Below are 13,794 nucleotides of genomic sequence, written 5' to 3' on the forward strand. Positions count from 1 at the left end.
TGAGCATAAGAATGTCATGATCTGACTTCCCATGTAAAAGGATAGCTCTGGCTATTGTGTTGAGAATATAGTGGAAGAAGACAAGAGTAGGGAGAACAGGAGGCTATTGCAGTAACCAAGACAAGAGATGACAGTGTCTGTCTGGGACAATAGCGGTAGGAAGAAGTGATCTGATTCTCAATGTATTTTGAAGGTAAAGGTAGGAGTATTTCTGGATGTATTGGCTGAGAAGTGTCTGCAAACAATTCCTTGAAGATTACTCTCAATCCTGTGCACATTTTAAAATAAGGCTATATGGTTTTCTGATATTGAGTTGTAGGAGCTCCTTATATATTTTGGATATTAACTCCTTAACTCATATATGGTATGCAAATATTTTCTCTCATTCCGTAGATTGCATTTTCATTTTGTTGCTAGTATTCTTTGCTGTGCAGAAGCTTTTGAGTTTGAGGTAGTCCCACCTATTTTTGCTTTTATTGCTTGTGCCCGTGATGTCATGTTCAAGAAATCTTTGCCAAGACCAAAGTCATGAAGTTCTTTCCCAATTTTTTTTAGGAGATTCACAGTTTCAGGTCTTACATTTTAAGTCTGTAATCATTTCACATTTATTTTTGTGTATGGTGTAAAAGATAAGGATCCAAATTAATCTTTTTCACATGTGACTGATTCTTCTGACATCATTTTTTGAGGAGACTATCCTTTCTTCTTTTTGTATTCTTGGATCCTTGTTGAAGATCAGTTGACTATATAAATGTGGCTTTATTTCTGGGCATTTTATTTTATTCTATTGGTCTATGTGTCTGTTTTTATGCCAGTATCATACTGTTTTGAACACTATTTTGTGTGTCAGTTTGACACATAGACTTATAAATAAATATAAATAAATGTATGTATGTATTTATTTAGTTAGTTAGTTAGTTTTGTTCTTTGGAGACAGAGTCTCACTCTGTCACCCAGGCTGGAGCGCAGTGGTGTGATCTCGGCTTAGGAGGCAACCTCTACCTCCTGGGGTCAAGTGATTCTCCTGCCTCAATCTCCCGAATAGCTGGAACTTCAGACTCACGCCATCATGCCCAGCTAATTTTTTTTTCTATTTTTACAGACAGGGTTTCACCATGTTGCCCAGGCTGGTCTCAAACTCCTGAACTTAAGTGAGCCACCAGCTTCAGCCTCCCAAAATCCTGGGATTACAAGTGTGAGCCATCAGGCCAGGCTGTAATGTATTTTAAAATCAGGACATGTGATGCCTCCAGCTTTGTTCTTCTTTCTCAAGATTGCTTTGGCTTTGAACCAAGATTATGGTTCTACGTGGATTTTAGGATTATTTGTTCTATTTCTTTAAAAAATGTCATTGGAATTTTGGTAGGGATTGGATGCATTGGAGGTGTAGATTGCTTTTGGTAGTATGGACATTTTAACAACATTAAGTCTTCCAATCCATGGACATGGGATGCCTTCTCATTTATTTGTGTCTCTTTTAATTTCTTTTATAAAAGTTTTATAGTTTTCACTGTACAAGTCGTTCACTGCCTTGAGTGAGTTTATTCCTAAATATATTTTTGCTGCTATTATAGTGGGATTTTTTCTTAGTTTCCTTTTCAAATAGTTCAGTGTTAGTGTATAGAAATATTACTAATTTTTGTATGTTGATTTTGTATCCTGCAACTTTACTGAATGGTTTATCAGTTCTAACAGGTTGTGGGGTTGGGATATTTTTCTTTTGTCTTTAGGGTTTTCTGCATATAAGATTGTGTCATCTGGAAACGGCGATAGCATTACTTCTTCCTTTCTAACTTGGATGCCTTTTATTCCCTTTTCTTGTCTACTTGCTTTGCTAAGACTCTCGGCATTATGTTGAATAGAAATGGTAAGAGCATGTATCCTTGTCGTGTCCTTGATCTTAGAAGGAAAGTTTTTGGTTTTTACAAAGAAGACATTCAAATGGCCAAAAATATAGCAAGTCTTCACTTAATCTCATCAATAAGTTCTTGGAAATTGTAACTTTAAGGAAAACAAAGTGCAGTGACTCTTGAATGATGCCATTTTGTTTGACATCCCTAGGGTATAAAGTTGATGAGAAAAAAAATGATGTGGTTATACATCCTTTCACTTAAACTCAGTTTCCAGGAACCTATAGATAATTTTAAGTGAGGACTTGCTATATATGAAAAGACACTCAACATCACTAATAGCCAGAGAAATAGAAATCAAAACTACAATGAGATACCATCTCATACCCCTGTTAGGATGGCCATTATCAAAGCAGTAACAAAAGAGATAAGTGTTGTCAAGGATGTGGAGAAATCGTAGCTTTTATATACTGTTGGTGGGAATATATAAAATGATACAACCACTATAGAAAAAAATATGGAGTTTCCTCAAATTAAAAATAGAATTACCCTATGATCTAGCATTTTCACTTCTTGGTATTTATTCAAAAGAATTAAAATCAGAATCTCAAAGGGATAGATGCACCCCCAAAGTCATTGTAGCATTATTCACAGTAACCAAGATGTGGGGAGAACTTAAATGTCCATCAGTGTATGAGTGGATAAAGAAAATGTGGTGTATACATACAATAGAATATTATTCAGCCATAAAAATAAGAAAATCCTGCCATATGATACAACATGGATGAACCTTGGGAACATTATGTGAAGGGAAATAAGCCAATCTCAGAAGAACATATACAGCATGCATTCAATTATATGAAGTATCTAAGATAATCAAACTCATAAAAGCACAGAGTAGAATGAAATTTGCCAGGGGTTGAAAGAAGGAGAAAATGGGAAGTTGTTGATTAAATAGGGGTGTCAGTGAATGACAGCAAGAATAAGAGGTAATGTGGTGATAAAATCTGATGGCAAGAGATGCAAAGCTGAGGATGTCTACAGAGCAGTGAAGCATCATGCTGTATCAAGGACAAGAAGCAGTGTGTATCTCTTTTATATATTCAGTGCCAGTGGCATGAGGGCACAGGGAGGAAAAACTGCCACCACCTGTAACTACTCCAGGGAAAGTAGTGTCCTTAGGAAGAACAAGATTTCTACTGGAGCGAGACCATGAAATGAGCATTTGGAGAAATGGTTAAGACTTTTTTCAGTGATTGACATACAGAGGGACAGTAGACATGACAAGGGCGAAGGCAGACAGTGAAGGTAAGGCTTTGAATGTCAAGGGCTAGGGAGAGATGCATCTTGGGCACCTTTCTTAACTCCTGATGATGGATGGGGTTAGAAGAACCAGCAAAAGTGTGGTTCAGTCCTGGTGGAGAGTTTCATTGTTGATCCTGGAGAAATATCCCCAATCTATTTCTCAATGAAGGCAGTGATAAACTTTTGATGCTGGAGAAGTAATGGAATCTTCCTTTAATAAAAAGAGTCAAGATGTCCTTGGTGAGTGCAGAGAGAAAGAAGAAACATTTTCTAACACACTGTAAGAAATCTTGAATATAGGGACAACATCTTATTTATGTGTGTTTCCAAAGGCTACCACGTTGCTTGTCAGAATGAGTCACAAAACCATGGAAGGGAGGGAGGGAGAATAGGAGAGAATGCAGGAAAATGAAGAAAGGAAAGAGAAAGGAAAATAGAAAGGCAAACTCAAAAAAAATGAAAGATAAGAAAATATTATCTTGTTAAAACCATACTCATCAGGAGACTTAAGTCCTTATTCATTTAATTCAACAAAGTTTTTCTCAAAATAATCACAAAAACATTCTGAAAATTAACTAATGAAAGAAAATGATAGTGAAATCATTTATAAAACAATGTATATGGACCCGTGATTGATAGGTTTTGTTGCAAACCGAGCATTGAGTATGCGTGTGTCCATGATTCAATATAAAACTGACCCTTCTCATTTTGAAGAGATAACAATTTTCTTATTTTGAAGAGATTAATAATGTGGTGAATTAACAAACCATCATGGAAGAGATTGAGAGAACCATGGGAAGGTGATTATATCATACCTTGTAAAGAAATATGTATCTTATTCATAGGGTACAAGATACTGTTTCTATTCCTGCTGAAAGAGTAGGTTAAGAAATGGTATCTGCAATTTGAAGATACCAGAATAGCAACTTGATCTCATATATCTTTGTTTGCTTCTCTGAAATTCGCATCAAGAAAAAGTCTCTAAAACATGTCTCAGAATCATTTTCTCTAGAATCCACTAAGTGGGCTTTACAGCTTTAAAAATATCAAAGATTTATATTACTATCTCTCCTAGGAAAACTGTGCCTATGACCATAGTCTTGTTTCAACTTCCAATGTATTTTTATGAAGAAAATATGAGAACTATATATACTCCATGCACTGTGATGATGTAACATACTAATGGGAGAGGTCCAAGGGCTTAGTAGAAAAAGTCTAGAGATGTAATTTCTTGTCCTAGCTCTGCGACTAACTAGCTATATGGCCATTACTATTCCAAGGGCAACAGACCTAAATCTCTCTGGGTGTCAATATCATAATTTTTGATATGAAGACAATCGAGGCTATAGTGCAGAAATTTTGGAGTCAGATAGACAAGTGTTTAAACCTTAATTCTGTCCTTTATCAGCTCCATGACATTGGCAAATTACCAATAAGATCTCAAAACACTAGTTTCTTCTGCAAAATGTGGATAATAATTGTCCCCTTCCCTTATTCTTTCCTTCTTTCTTTCCTTCTTTCTTTCTTTCCTTTCTTTCTTCCTTTCTTTCTTTCTTTCTTTCTTTCTTTCTTTCTTTCTCTCTCTCTCTTTCTTACTATTTTTTTTTTTTTTGAGACAGGGTCTTGCTCTGTTGTGCAGGCTGGAATGGAGTTGGCACCATCTTGGCTCACTGCAACCTCTGCTTCTCAGATTCAAGTGATTCTCCTGCCTCAGCCTCCCGAGCAGCTGAGATGCTGAGATTACAGGCATGCACCACCATGCCCAGCTAATTTTGGTATTTTTAGTAGAGATAGGGTTTCACCCTGTTGGCCAGGCTGGTCTCGAACTCCTGACCTCAAGTTATCCACCTGCCTCGGCCTCCCAAAGTGCTGGGATTACAGGCGTGAGGTGCTAGGATTACACCAGCACCCAGCCCCCTTTCCCTTATTCCTGTTATGATTATTAAATGAGATGGGCTAGTATATTAAGCTCTTAGCGAAGTGCCTGGCACGTAGTAAACAATTCATGCATAGTACCGATTATTTTTGGTGTTACTGTTTTTAAAATAATTTTTGCCATATTTAGTCAATGTAGACTGCTTTGAAAGCTTATAGATTTATCACATGCAAATGATTAAATGTGATTTCTGTGTCTCCTTCATAACCCTTGGCTGTCAGGTCCTTGGGCAGATATGTAAATCCCTGCTCTTGAATCGATCCGACATTAAAGGCGATGGGGATTAGATAATTTTCACTTAAAGTGACTGTCCTCTTTTTCTGGGAACCTGTCACAAGCGGGAGTTCTGCCTCGTATATCAAAAAGGAATTCTAGAAGGTGATTTCATTTTTGCTTTCATTTTGTTCTTCAAGGAAAGGGAGTTAAATATTAATTAAGAAGTCTAATCCAGTAAATATAGAGATGCAACCATCCCAGACTCACAGAGTTGATGATAAAAGGAGCTGTGAAAGGGATCAAAGCCAATAATAAGCCAGGATGAGCAGAGCGAGGAGCGAGCGAGAGATGTGGGATCAAAATATGCAAGAAGCCCAACTGCAGGCTGTAGTGCAGAGCGCCTTTAACTACAGCAGAACGCTGCAGCATCACTCATTCTGAACACAAGTTATCAAACATTTATTGAATATCTACTACATGCTGAGAACTAGAAATACAAAGATAAATTTCACAAAATCCCTGCCCCCAAGTAATTCACATCCTCAGAAGAAAGTCCTAAATGGTGACAGGAGGTGGCATAGCACAATAATTAAGCACATTTCTTTGGAATGAGACTGTCTGGGTGTAAAGCTCAGTTTTGTCACTTCCTAGCTTTTGGGATGTGGAAACGACTTCATCTCTCTGAGTAGAGTTTTCTGCACTGGTATGATGGAAGAACCAAGTCATGACTTTATTGTGAAGAGTAAATTAGTAAAATATTTGAAATGGGCTCAATGTAGTATCTACTACCTGGTATAGGCAACATTTTACATAGTATGCCATGATTAAAGGTTGCACAAAGAAGTTAATATTTGGGCCTGGCTTTGAGCTAGAAGAACATTGTTCTTGTAAAGAAACAGAATAGATCACATCTTAAGCTGAGAATACAAAGATACTGTAAATTCAGAGCTCTTACATGGTATGATCGGGAAATAAAGAAATAGTGGAGTGAGAGAGAAATTGAAAGTGAGAAAGGAAAATACTAGAAAGTTAATCCTGAGCCAGCTCTTGGAAAATGTAGAATTGCATAGCAAAGTATTTTGACTTTACCATGGAAGCAAATGTGGGTCACCGAAGGTTATTAACAAAGGAGTGGATTGATTAAATTTGCATTTAGAAAAATTATTCTAAATGTGGAATCTACACTGAGAGAAGCAGGACTTGAACCAGAAGGAGGAATTAGAATGCCAAGAGTTGATAATGGTCCCATTTGGGCAATGAGAGTGATGGGAAGGAGTGAGGTGGAGGAGGGAAGTTTCAGAGGCAACTTGACAGGGATTAGCAACTGGTCCAAGTGGGTAGAGACAGGTTCATAGAGAGAGGGAGGATTCTAGAGTGGGTTTTAAGGACTACAAGTAGGATGACTAGGTTAGAGTATAGTCAATAAATGAGATGGAGGGTAGGAGGAGAACATCTGACTGGGAAACAGGAAGTTTGGTTTTGAAAAATATGAAGTATATATTTTCTTGGGCTTCTGATGAGGATGTGGAAATAGGCACTTGGAAATGTTTTTATGGAAATAATCAGAACGTGAATCTGGAAATTAAGATAAGAAAACCATCACCCATAGATTATAAATGGGGCTACATCAGGGGATGAGATGACTGGCAGAGGGAATATAAAGGTACCAGGGCCAAGGACACGACCCTAGAAATGCTCCCTTTTAGGGGACAATCCAAGGAAGGTGAGTCAGTGGAAGAGATGGAGAAAGGATACTCAGAGAATAGAAGGGTGAATCTATCCTCTTCTTGGCAGAAGGGACTATTAAGTAGAGCAAGGTCAACCATGCCATAAGCCACAAAATATTTAATTAGGATGAAGAATGAGAAAATGCCTTTGGATTTGACACTGGTAACATCTGATGGAATATTCTAAAGTGAGGTCCTTGTAGGTGCTTGATTAAAATGCCTAACAAAGGCTGGGCGTGGTGGCTCATGCCTGCAATCCTAGCGTTTTGGGAGGCTGAGGCAGAAGGATTGCTTGAGCCCAGGAGGTTGAGGCTGCAGTAAACTGTGATTTTGCCACTGCACTCCAGCTCGGGGTGACAGAGTGACACTCTGTCTCTTAAAAAATAAAGAAATTTTTACAAAACCTAACAAAGAGGAGGGTATAAAAAATAAAAGCTGAGCGAACACTACGTCCTGTACATATGTAGAGATCTTGCATTTTCTGTACTAATGCCTCATATACAGTAGACAATCGAACGGTGTCTGTCCCATGCTGTACATATGTTGAAGTTTTCAACTTCACTCCTTTGCCTAAGGAGTGATGCTAACTGACAATTTTCATCATATTCTGTCCAGGAGGACCTTGATCCAGGGCAAGGATGCTTATGGACAGGAGCTGATGCTTGGAATTCCTCAAATTATAATTCTAAAAATTGTGTTTGTTGAGAATCATGAGCAGCCAGTAAGATTCTCATAATTTATATAGCATTTGAGGATTATTATTGAACAAGAAGTCTTTAAATTTTTAAAAGGACAAAGTGTAAAATGTTCTGAATAAAAGGCTAACACACTTAGCTTAAAAATGTAGTGCCTCTGCAAGCTTAAACCGTGAATTTTAATCAAAGCCACTGCCCTCTTTGAGGGAGTTACTCAGAAGTTGCATCAGATTGTTGATGATAAATAGGCTTCAGCGATTCATTTAAATAATATTTTTAAATCTAAGAAAACCCCTATTTTCCAGCTTTAGGTATGGAAATAAATTATCCTATTAGAACACTGACATTCTAAATTTTGAGAAATAGCATAAAACTCACGGACGAAATCAGTTTGTATTATTGTTGGATAGTTAGGGTTGTTTTCAGTTGTAACTTTCTCTTGTCTTTGTCATTTCCCTAAGTGACAGAGGAGAAAGGAAGGTGGATAAAAACAGAACTTATAGAGGATATATTCTCCTTCCCACCCCATGTCACCTCCCCAACCAACAAATGCATATTTAATGGCCCTTCCCTCCTTTACTTTGATTATTTAATCATCATATAGTGCTACAGCTTTTTTAACAGTCCCTTTAAAATAAGAGAATATTGTCAGTACCATTTTTTAAAATAAGAGAAGCAGTTGGTTTTGAATTGAGACAGACCTGAATTTGAATCCCATCTCTTCTAAGTAAAAGCTGGGTGGTCAGCTGATTTTTTAATCTTTCTGAGATTCTCCTTGGTCACCAGTTAAATGACAAAAGAGAATATAAATATCCATTTTAAAAGGTTGTTGTGGGATTATATAAGCTAATGTATTATATGAGCACTGCATCTTCCTTGGGTTCTATTCTCAACCAGGAGGTAAAATCATAATCATAGGTAGAAACATTTACCCCTGACAAATCCCTTAAACTGGCTCTAAATTTGAGAATGCATGGGTTCATGCATGCAGTCCTATTCAGTGAGAAGTATGTATGAAGGTTTAATGCTTATAATAATACACAGAACATAATGATGTGAACATGTATCAAGTATGGATATATTTAGAGTTTTGAGAAACACATATGGTAAGCAAGAGTTAGAAGGAAATGACATGTCTGACTTATGAAGAGATTAATGTCTCCCATCCTTCATTTTGGCTGAAGTGTAGATTCTCTCTTTCTCCTTCTCCCATCCCCTAACATGAGGGAATTTTCCAGTGCACATAGAATGGACATCATGATACACCAAAGGCATGCCACAGTTCCTAGCACATAATAAATGGTAAATAGCCATTCGTATTTTTAATGTCTTTTATTCTCCTATAGAAGGGATTTTCAAACGAAAACTGCTCTGTAGCTTAACAAGGGTTTAAAGAGACTTCAGAGCCAGCAGCATCAGAACAATGAGACATGCAGCCTTGTTGCCTAATTCACTCTTGGGTGACCAGTCTTAAATGATGCAATGTGAAATCATTTCAATTAATTTTGGTCTGTCTCTGTAGTCTTCTGAGGGCCTTATAAAAGAAGTATATGCTTAAAGCTAATACACAGGAAGGCCTGAAAGCTCCAAACTGTGCAGCTTTTGGTGGATTTGAGGTAAACCCTTTATGAGGAACAAGAGAGAATGGATTTGCTTATGGTTATAGTTTCTCTCTCTAAAGATTTACCAGCTTAGAAAATATGTATATATGCACATATGTGAGTGTGTGTGTGTAAGTGTGTGTGATAGTTATTATTTTTTTTAAGCAAAACAAAATTTCCTTAATTCATCCCTGATATTGAGAGAATAATACTAATACATTTGGGCCATTTGTGACTTCTTTCTCAAAAATGCTTTTTGGGATGCCAAACCAAGCTGAAATGTCTGCCACCCTTGATTTTTGGTAGTAAAAAAAAAACAGTTTGAAGTAGCCTGAAGACGAAACATAAATCAATGTTATTCATAGCTTACTTATGCTATGCTAATATATTTGCCATAGGCAAGAAGTACTCCTAACTAATAAACTTACTTTAAATCATTAGTTGAAATGTCTGGATATTCCTTCTAATGATTTCCCCAGCTTAGTTTTGTCAATGCTTCGCAGGTCTTCATGCCTTCTACCTGAACGTATGGGTCATGGTAGATAGACAGAACAAAAAACTTTTATAACATTTTAAAAACTGGGATTAGAAGATCCTAAAACCTTGTCTGAGTGCTCTGCTGTTGATTTCTCAGAGGAGTAAAATATACGTGGCAACTTCTTCAGAAAGAACATATTAAAGTTGAAGTATAAGGATTTTTAGATCAAAAGGATAATGATTTTTTAAAATCTTTACTATGTGATAAATTATTCTGAAGGCATTATAAAGATGTACAAGCTTGCACCAGGGAATAACACAGAAAGTTGGTGGTGACTTTGAAATTAGTATAGACATAACACTAACCTCCTTCCTTCCTTGGCCAAGTTTCTTTATAGCATGATGCCACAACTGTTTTTTTTTTTTTTAAGTAATTTTTTCTTATCACCAAAAGATTTTCTTTTTCTTCTTTAAGTGATATACACAAGAACGGCTGCATGTTTTAAAACATGTGGAACATGATAGGCTCACCTATTTTCCCTCTATTTAAAATAATGGTTTCATAGAGAATTGTAAATTATTTCTCCTCTTAACTTTCATGAAGAAAATGACACTTATATTTTAAACCAATTTAACTCTCAAGATGTGCCATCTGTGCCTCTCCTCTTGTCTCTAGGCCAAGAGAGTGTTATTAAGCTTGAGGATGGGTAGAAGAGAAGAGTGGCAGAGAGAGGCACTGGAGGTGTTTGAGAGAGGCATGAGGGGAGATGAAAGGCCCGTGCAATTGGGGAATTTCCTGGTGCATTTCCCTGAGAAAAAAACTAATGATGGTGATTTGGGGTTATGAAAAATGACTGACCGTCCATCAGCATAGGATAAGATCAGAAGATTCTTCATAACGCTAGATACAGGACTCCTGAAGGCAAATAATATGATTGACTATCACATGGGTCTCATGCAAGGAGAGTTCATACGAGTTAAAAGGATAAAAGCCCTGGTGTAGCCCACTGGGGAGAGATAAACCTTTGAAGGAAGCCCTTTTAACCACATTCATCAGTAAGGCCATAAGGGACTTCCTTGGAAGTTTATCACAATTGCTTTTGCATGAAACTGTATTTTTCACCATGGTCTCCAATGAAGATAAACCCAGTGCTGCTCATATCATTGAAATCTACAGTGGAGATCTACAATGACCCTCTCCATGCGTGTTGGTCATCTCTTTCTGCTTCTTCATGCCCTGCTCATGTTTCTTCATGTTCCTCCTGCGACTTATTTTTTGTAACAGCATGATTAAGACATAATTCACATAACGTGCAATTCACTCACTTAAAATACAAAATTCAATGGTTTCTAGTATATCACAGGCTTGTGCAACCTTCAGCACAATCAATTTTAGAGTATTTTTATCACCCCAGGAAGAAATTCAGAACTCTTAGCAGTCATTCCCATTCCCCTCCACAACTGCCAGTCCTAAGCAGCATCCATCAATCTACTTTGTGACCATAGATTTGCCTATTTTAGACATTTCATGTCAATAGAATCATGCAATATGTAGTATTTTCTGACTGGAGTCTTTCATTTAGCATGATGTTCTTGAAATTAATCCGTGCCACAGAATGTGTCAGTTCTTTATTCCTTTTTGTTGACAAATAATATTCCATTGTATGAATATAGCATGTTTATTTTTTTTCATTCATCAGTTGATGGATATTTGTGTTGTTTTCCTTATGGGCTGTTTCTTTGATTTTTTTTCTTCTTGGCATCGTGTATGATTTCCGAATAGCATGGTGCAAAATAGGCCTTGAAGTTTCCTGCATCTGGGTGCAAACTCCAGTTCTGCTGCTGATAAGCAATGGGGCTCTGGTCAAGTTATGTGACTTTTGTGATCCTTTATTTCTCATTTTGCATAAATGGACAGCCCACAGGGTACTGCTCATATTGCCCCTTGGCCCAATGTGAGGATATAATAACTATTGAACATTTTTTTCATTTATTGAATGAGTAATCACATAATATGAGCCTTCCCAAGGAGCTCTTATATATTGTTTATAAAGGTAATCTGGGTAATGCCGGGCTCTTACACTCTATTTTAAATCAAGCAAGTGAAGGCTTCAGAGACATCTCTTCGTATTGACAGTGTGCTCTGCAAAAGATTCAGCAAAGCTCCATGAGAACTGTTTCTGTTCATCTCTTCCTAACTCAGCCTCACCCTGTAATTTTAGGACATAAGCCCCACAGACTTTTACCTTAGATATAGTGCAATTCAAACACACACACACAAACACACACACACACACACACACACACACACGCACACAGAGATGCCAACCATTCCTGAGAAGGAACTTGCAGAATCTTCCATTTCATAGCATTATCTGTTGAGACAGAAATAATGTGATTGATTTGCCAGGTCATCCAGGATTTCAAAAACCCCCAAACTAAGCCATTTTACATTTTAGATCCAAAGTGTTGTTTATCATAGGCTGTTAAGACTTTCTCATTTTAATTTCAACCAGAGAAGAATACATTGAATATAAACAGGGCCTCTTAGAGCAGTCAGAGAGCATACTGAGAGTTTCTCTAGTAATAGAGTCAAAAATAGTGACTAACCAAGTCTTTAAGTAGAAATGCTACCCCTAAATAAATGCTTCTAAATGAGATGGCAAAAACGAATAGACTCTTGTTTAATTAAAGGTACTTGTAAAGTTTGCTTAGAGTTTGCAGTAATCCACCTTGTCAGTTCTCATCCGGGATGTTTAATGATGGGTTTGCTTTAGTTTCCAAATGGAAATCAGCTGCTGCTTCTTTACAGCCTGACATTAGGCACCCTGTGGAAATTGTATTATTCTCCACATGCATATTCATAGAATTAAGTATTATCAATGGACTTAAAGAGCTCAATTATTTTTTGCAATTGCATGCTTAGTTGCTTATTCTGAAGTAGAGTAGATTGAGTATTTCGGGGCCTGGTCAAATCCTTGAAATATAAATGTGAATGTATATCAGCAGAAAATCACCAGCTTTACTTTATCAGTTGGATTGTTAAGACAATTGCCAACAATATTATCCCTTGATTTATAGTTCACAAAATGTCTTCTGTTATAATGAGCATAGTTTTTTTCCTCACAGAACTCTGTGAACAAAAAAGCATTCTACAGATGAGGAAACTGATTGTCATCCAAGAAGAATCTCTTATCTAAGATTGTATAAGTACTGAAGCAAGATTAAAATCTAGACATTCCTGACTTCTAGTTCTTTATTGCATTTTCTGCATCCTATTGCTTCCCTGGGGAAGGTCTTATTTCTGTATGTTTGGAAATACCTACTTACTTTAGATTTTTATTTTAGCTTGTGTATGTGTCATGGTGGTGTCATTTTAATTACCAGGCCACTGAACCACATGGACATTTGGTAATAGACAGAATGCTGCATTTCCAGATGCTAGAGTTAGTGTAATTCTTGATTAATAATTTAATAGAAAATAAGGTGTTTGTTTACAATGTTAACTAAACATTCAAGGAAAACACACAGCAGCAATTGAGATGAGAAAACACAGAATGCAAACAGGAAAACAAAAGAAATGAGGATGGATTAATTCTACATGCAGTTGAAATATACCACCTGCTTTGCCCTTGCTTTTGGGACATTCAAGTTCATCTCTCTTTCTCCAGTATCATTGTCATTGTGTTAGATTATTACTGTGGTTTGTAGAGCTATAGGGACTTTGTGAGCAGTGATCTCAAACTCAAATATCTATAAGAACCAGACTAAAAATATAAATAACTGGGTATATGCTGGTTATAGATACCTGTATCTATGTTCTGCAAGTGATGGCATCTTTAGCAAACTAGAACATAGGTACTAGTTAAAGGAGCTGAGCTGTGTTCCCAGCTGGTTGTTGCTCTCTTGGAATTAGTACAGAATTTCCCAGATCTTGTAATTTTCCAAGTAAGTCCAGATATCAATATATTTTTTAACACTGTGAAG

The 13,794-nt window shown here is 36.9% G+C and overlaps 1 protein-coding gene across 9 annotated transcripts in view; it reads left to right on the plus strand.

The window, feature by feature from the left end:
- The window catches only part of TENM2 (teneurin transmembrane protein 2), a 1,285,129-nt gene that overhangs the window by 414,653 nt on the left and 856,682 nt on the right, over positions 1 to 13,794 (plus strand). The gene's annotated exons all lie outside the window — the stretch shown is intronic.

Source organism: Homo sapiens, chromosome 5 (genome assembly GCF_000001405.40).
Source record: "Homo sapiens chromosome 5, GRCh38.p14 Primary Assembly".
NCBI lineage: Eukaryota > Metazoa > Chordata > Mammalia > Primates > Hominidae > Homo > Homo sapiens.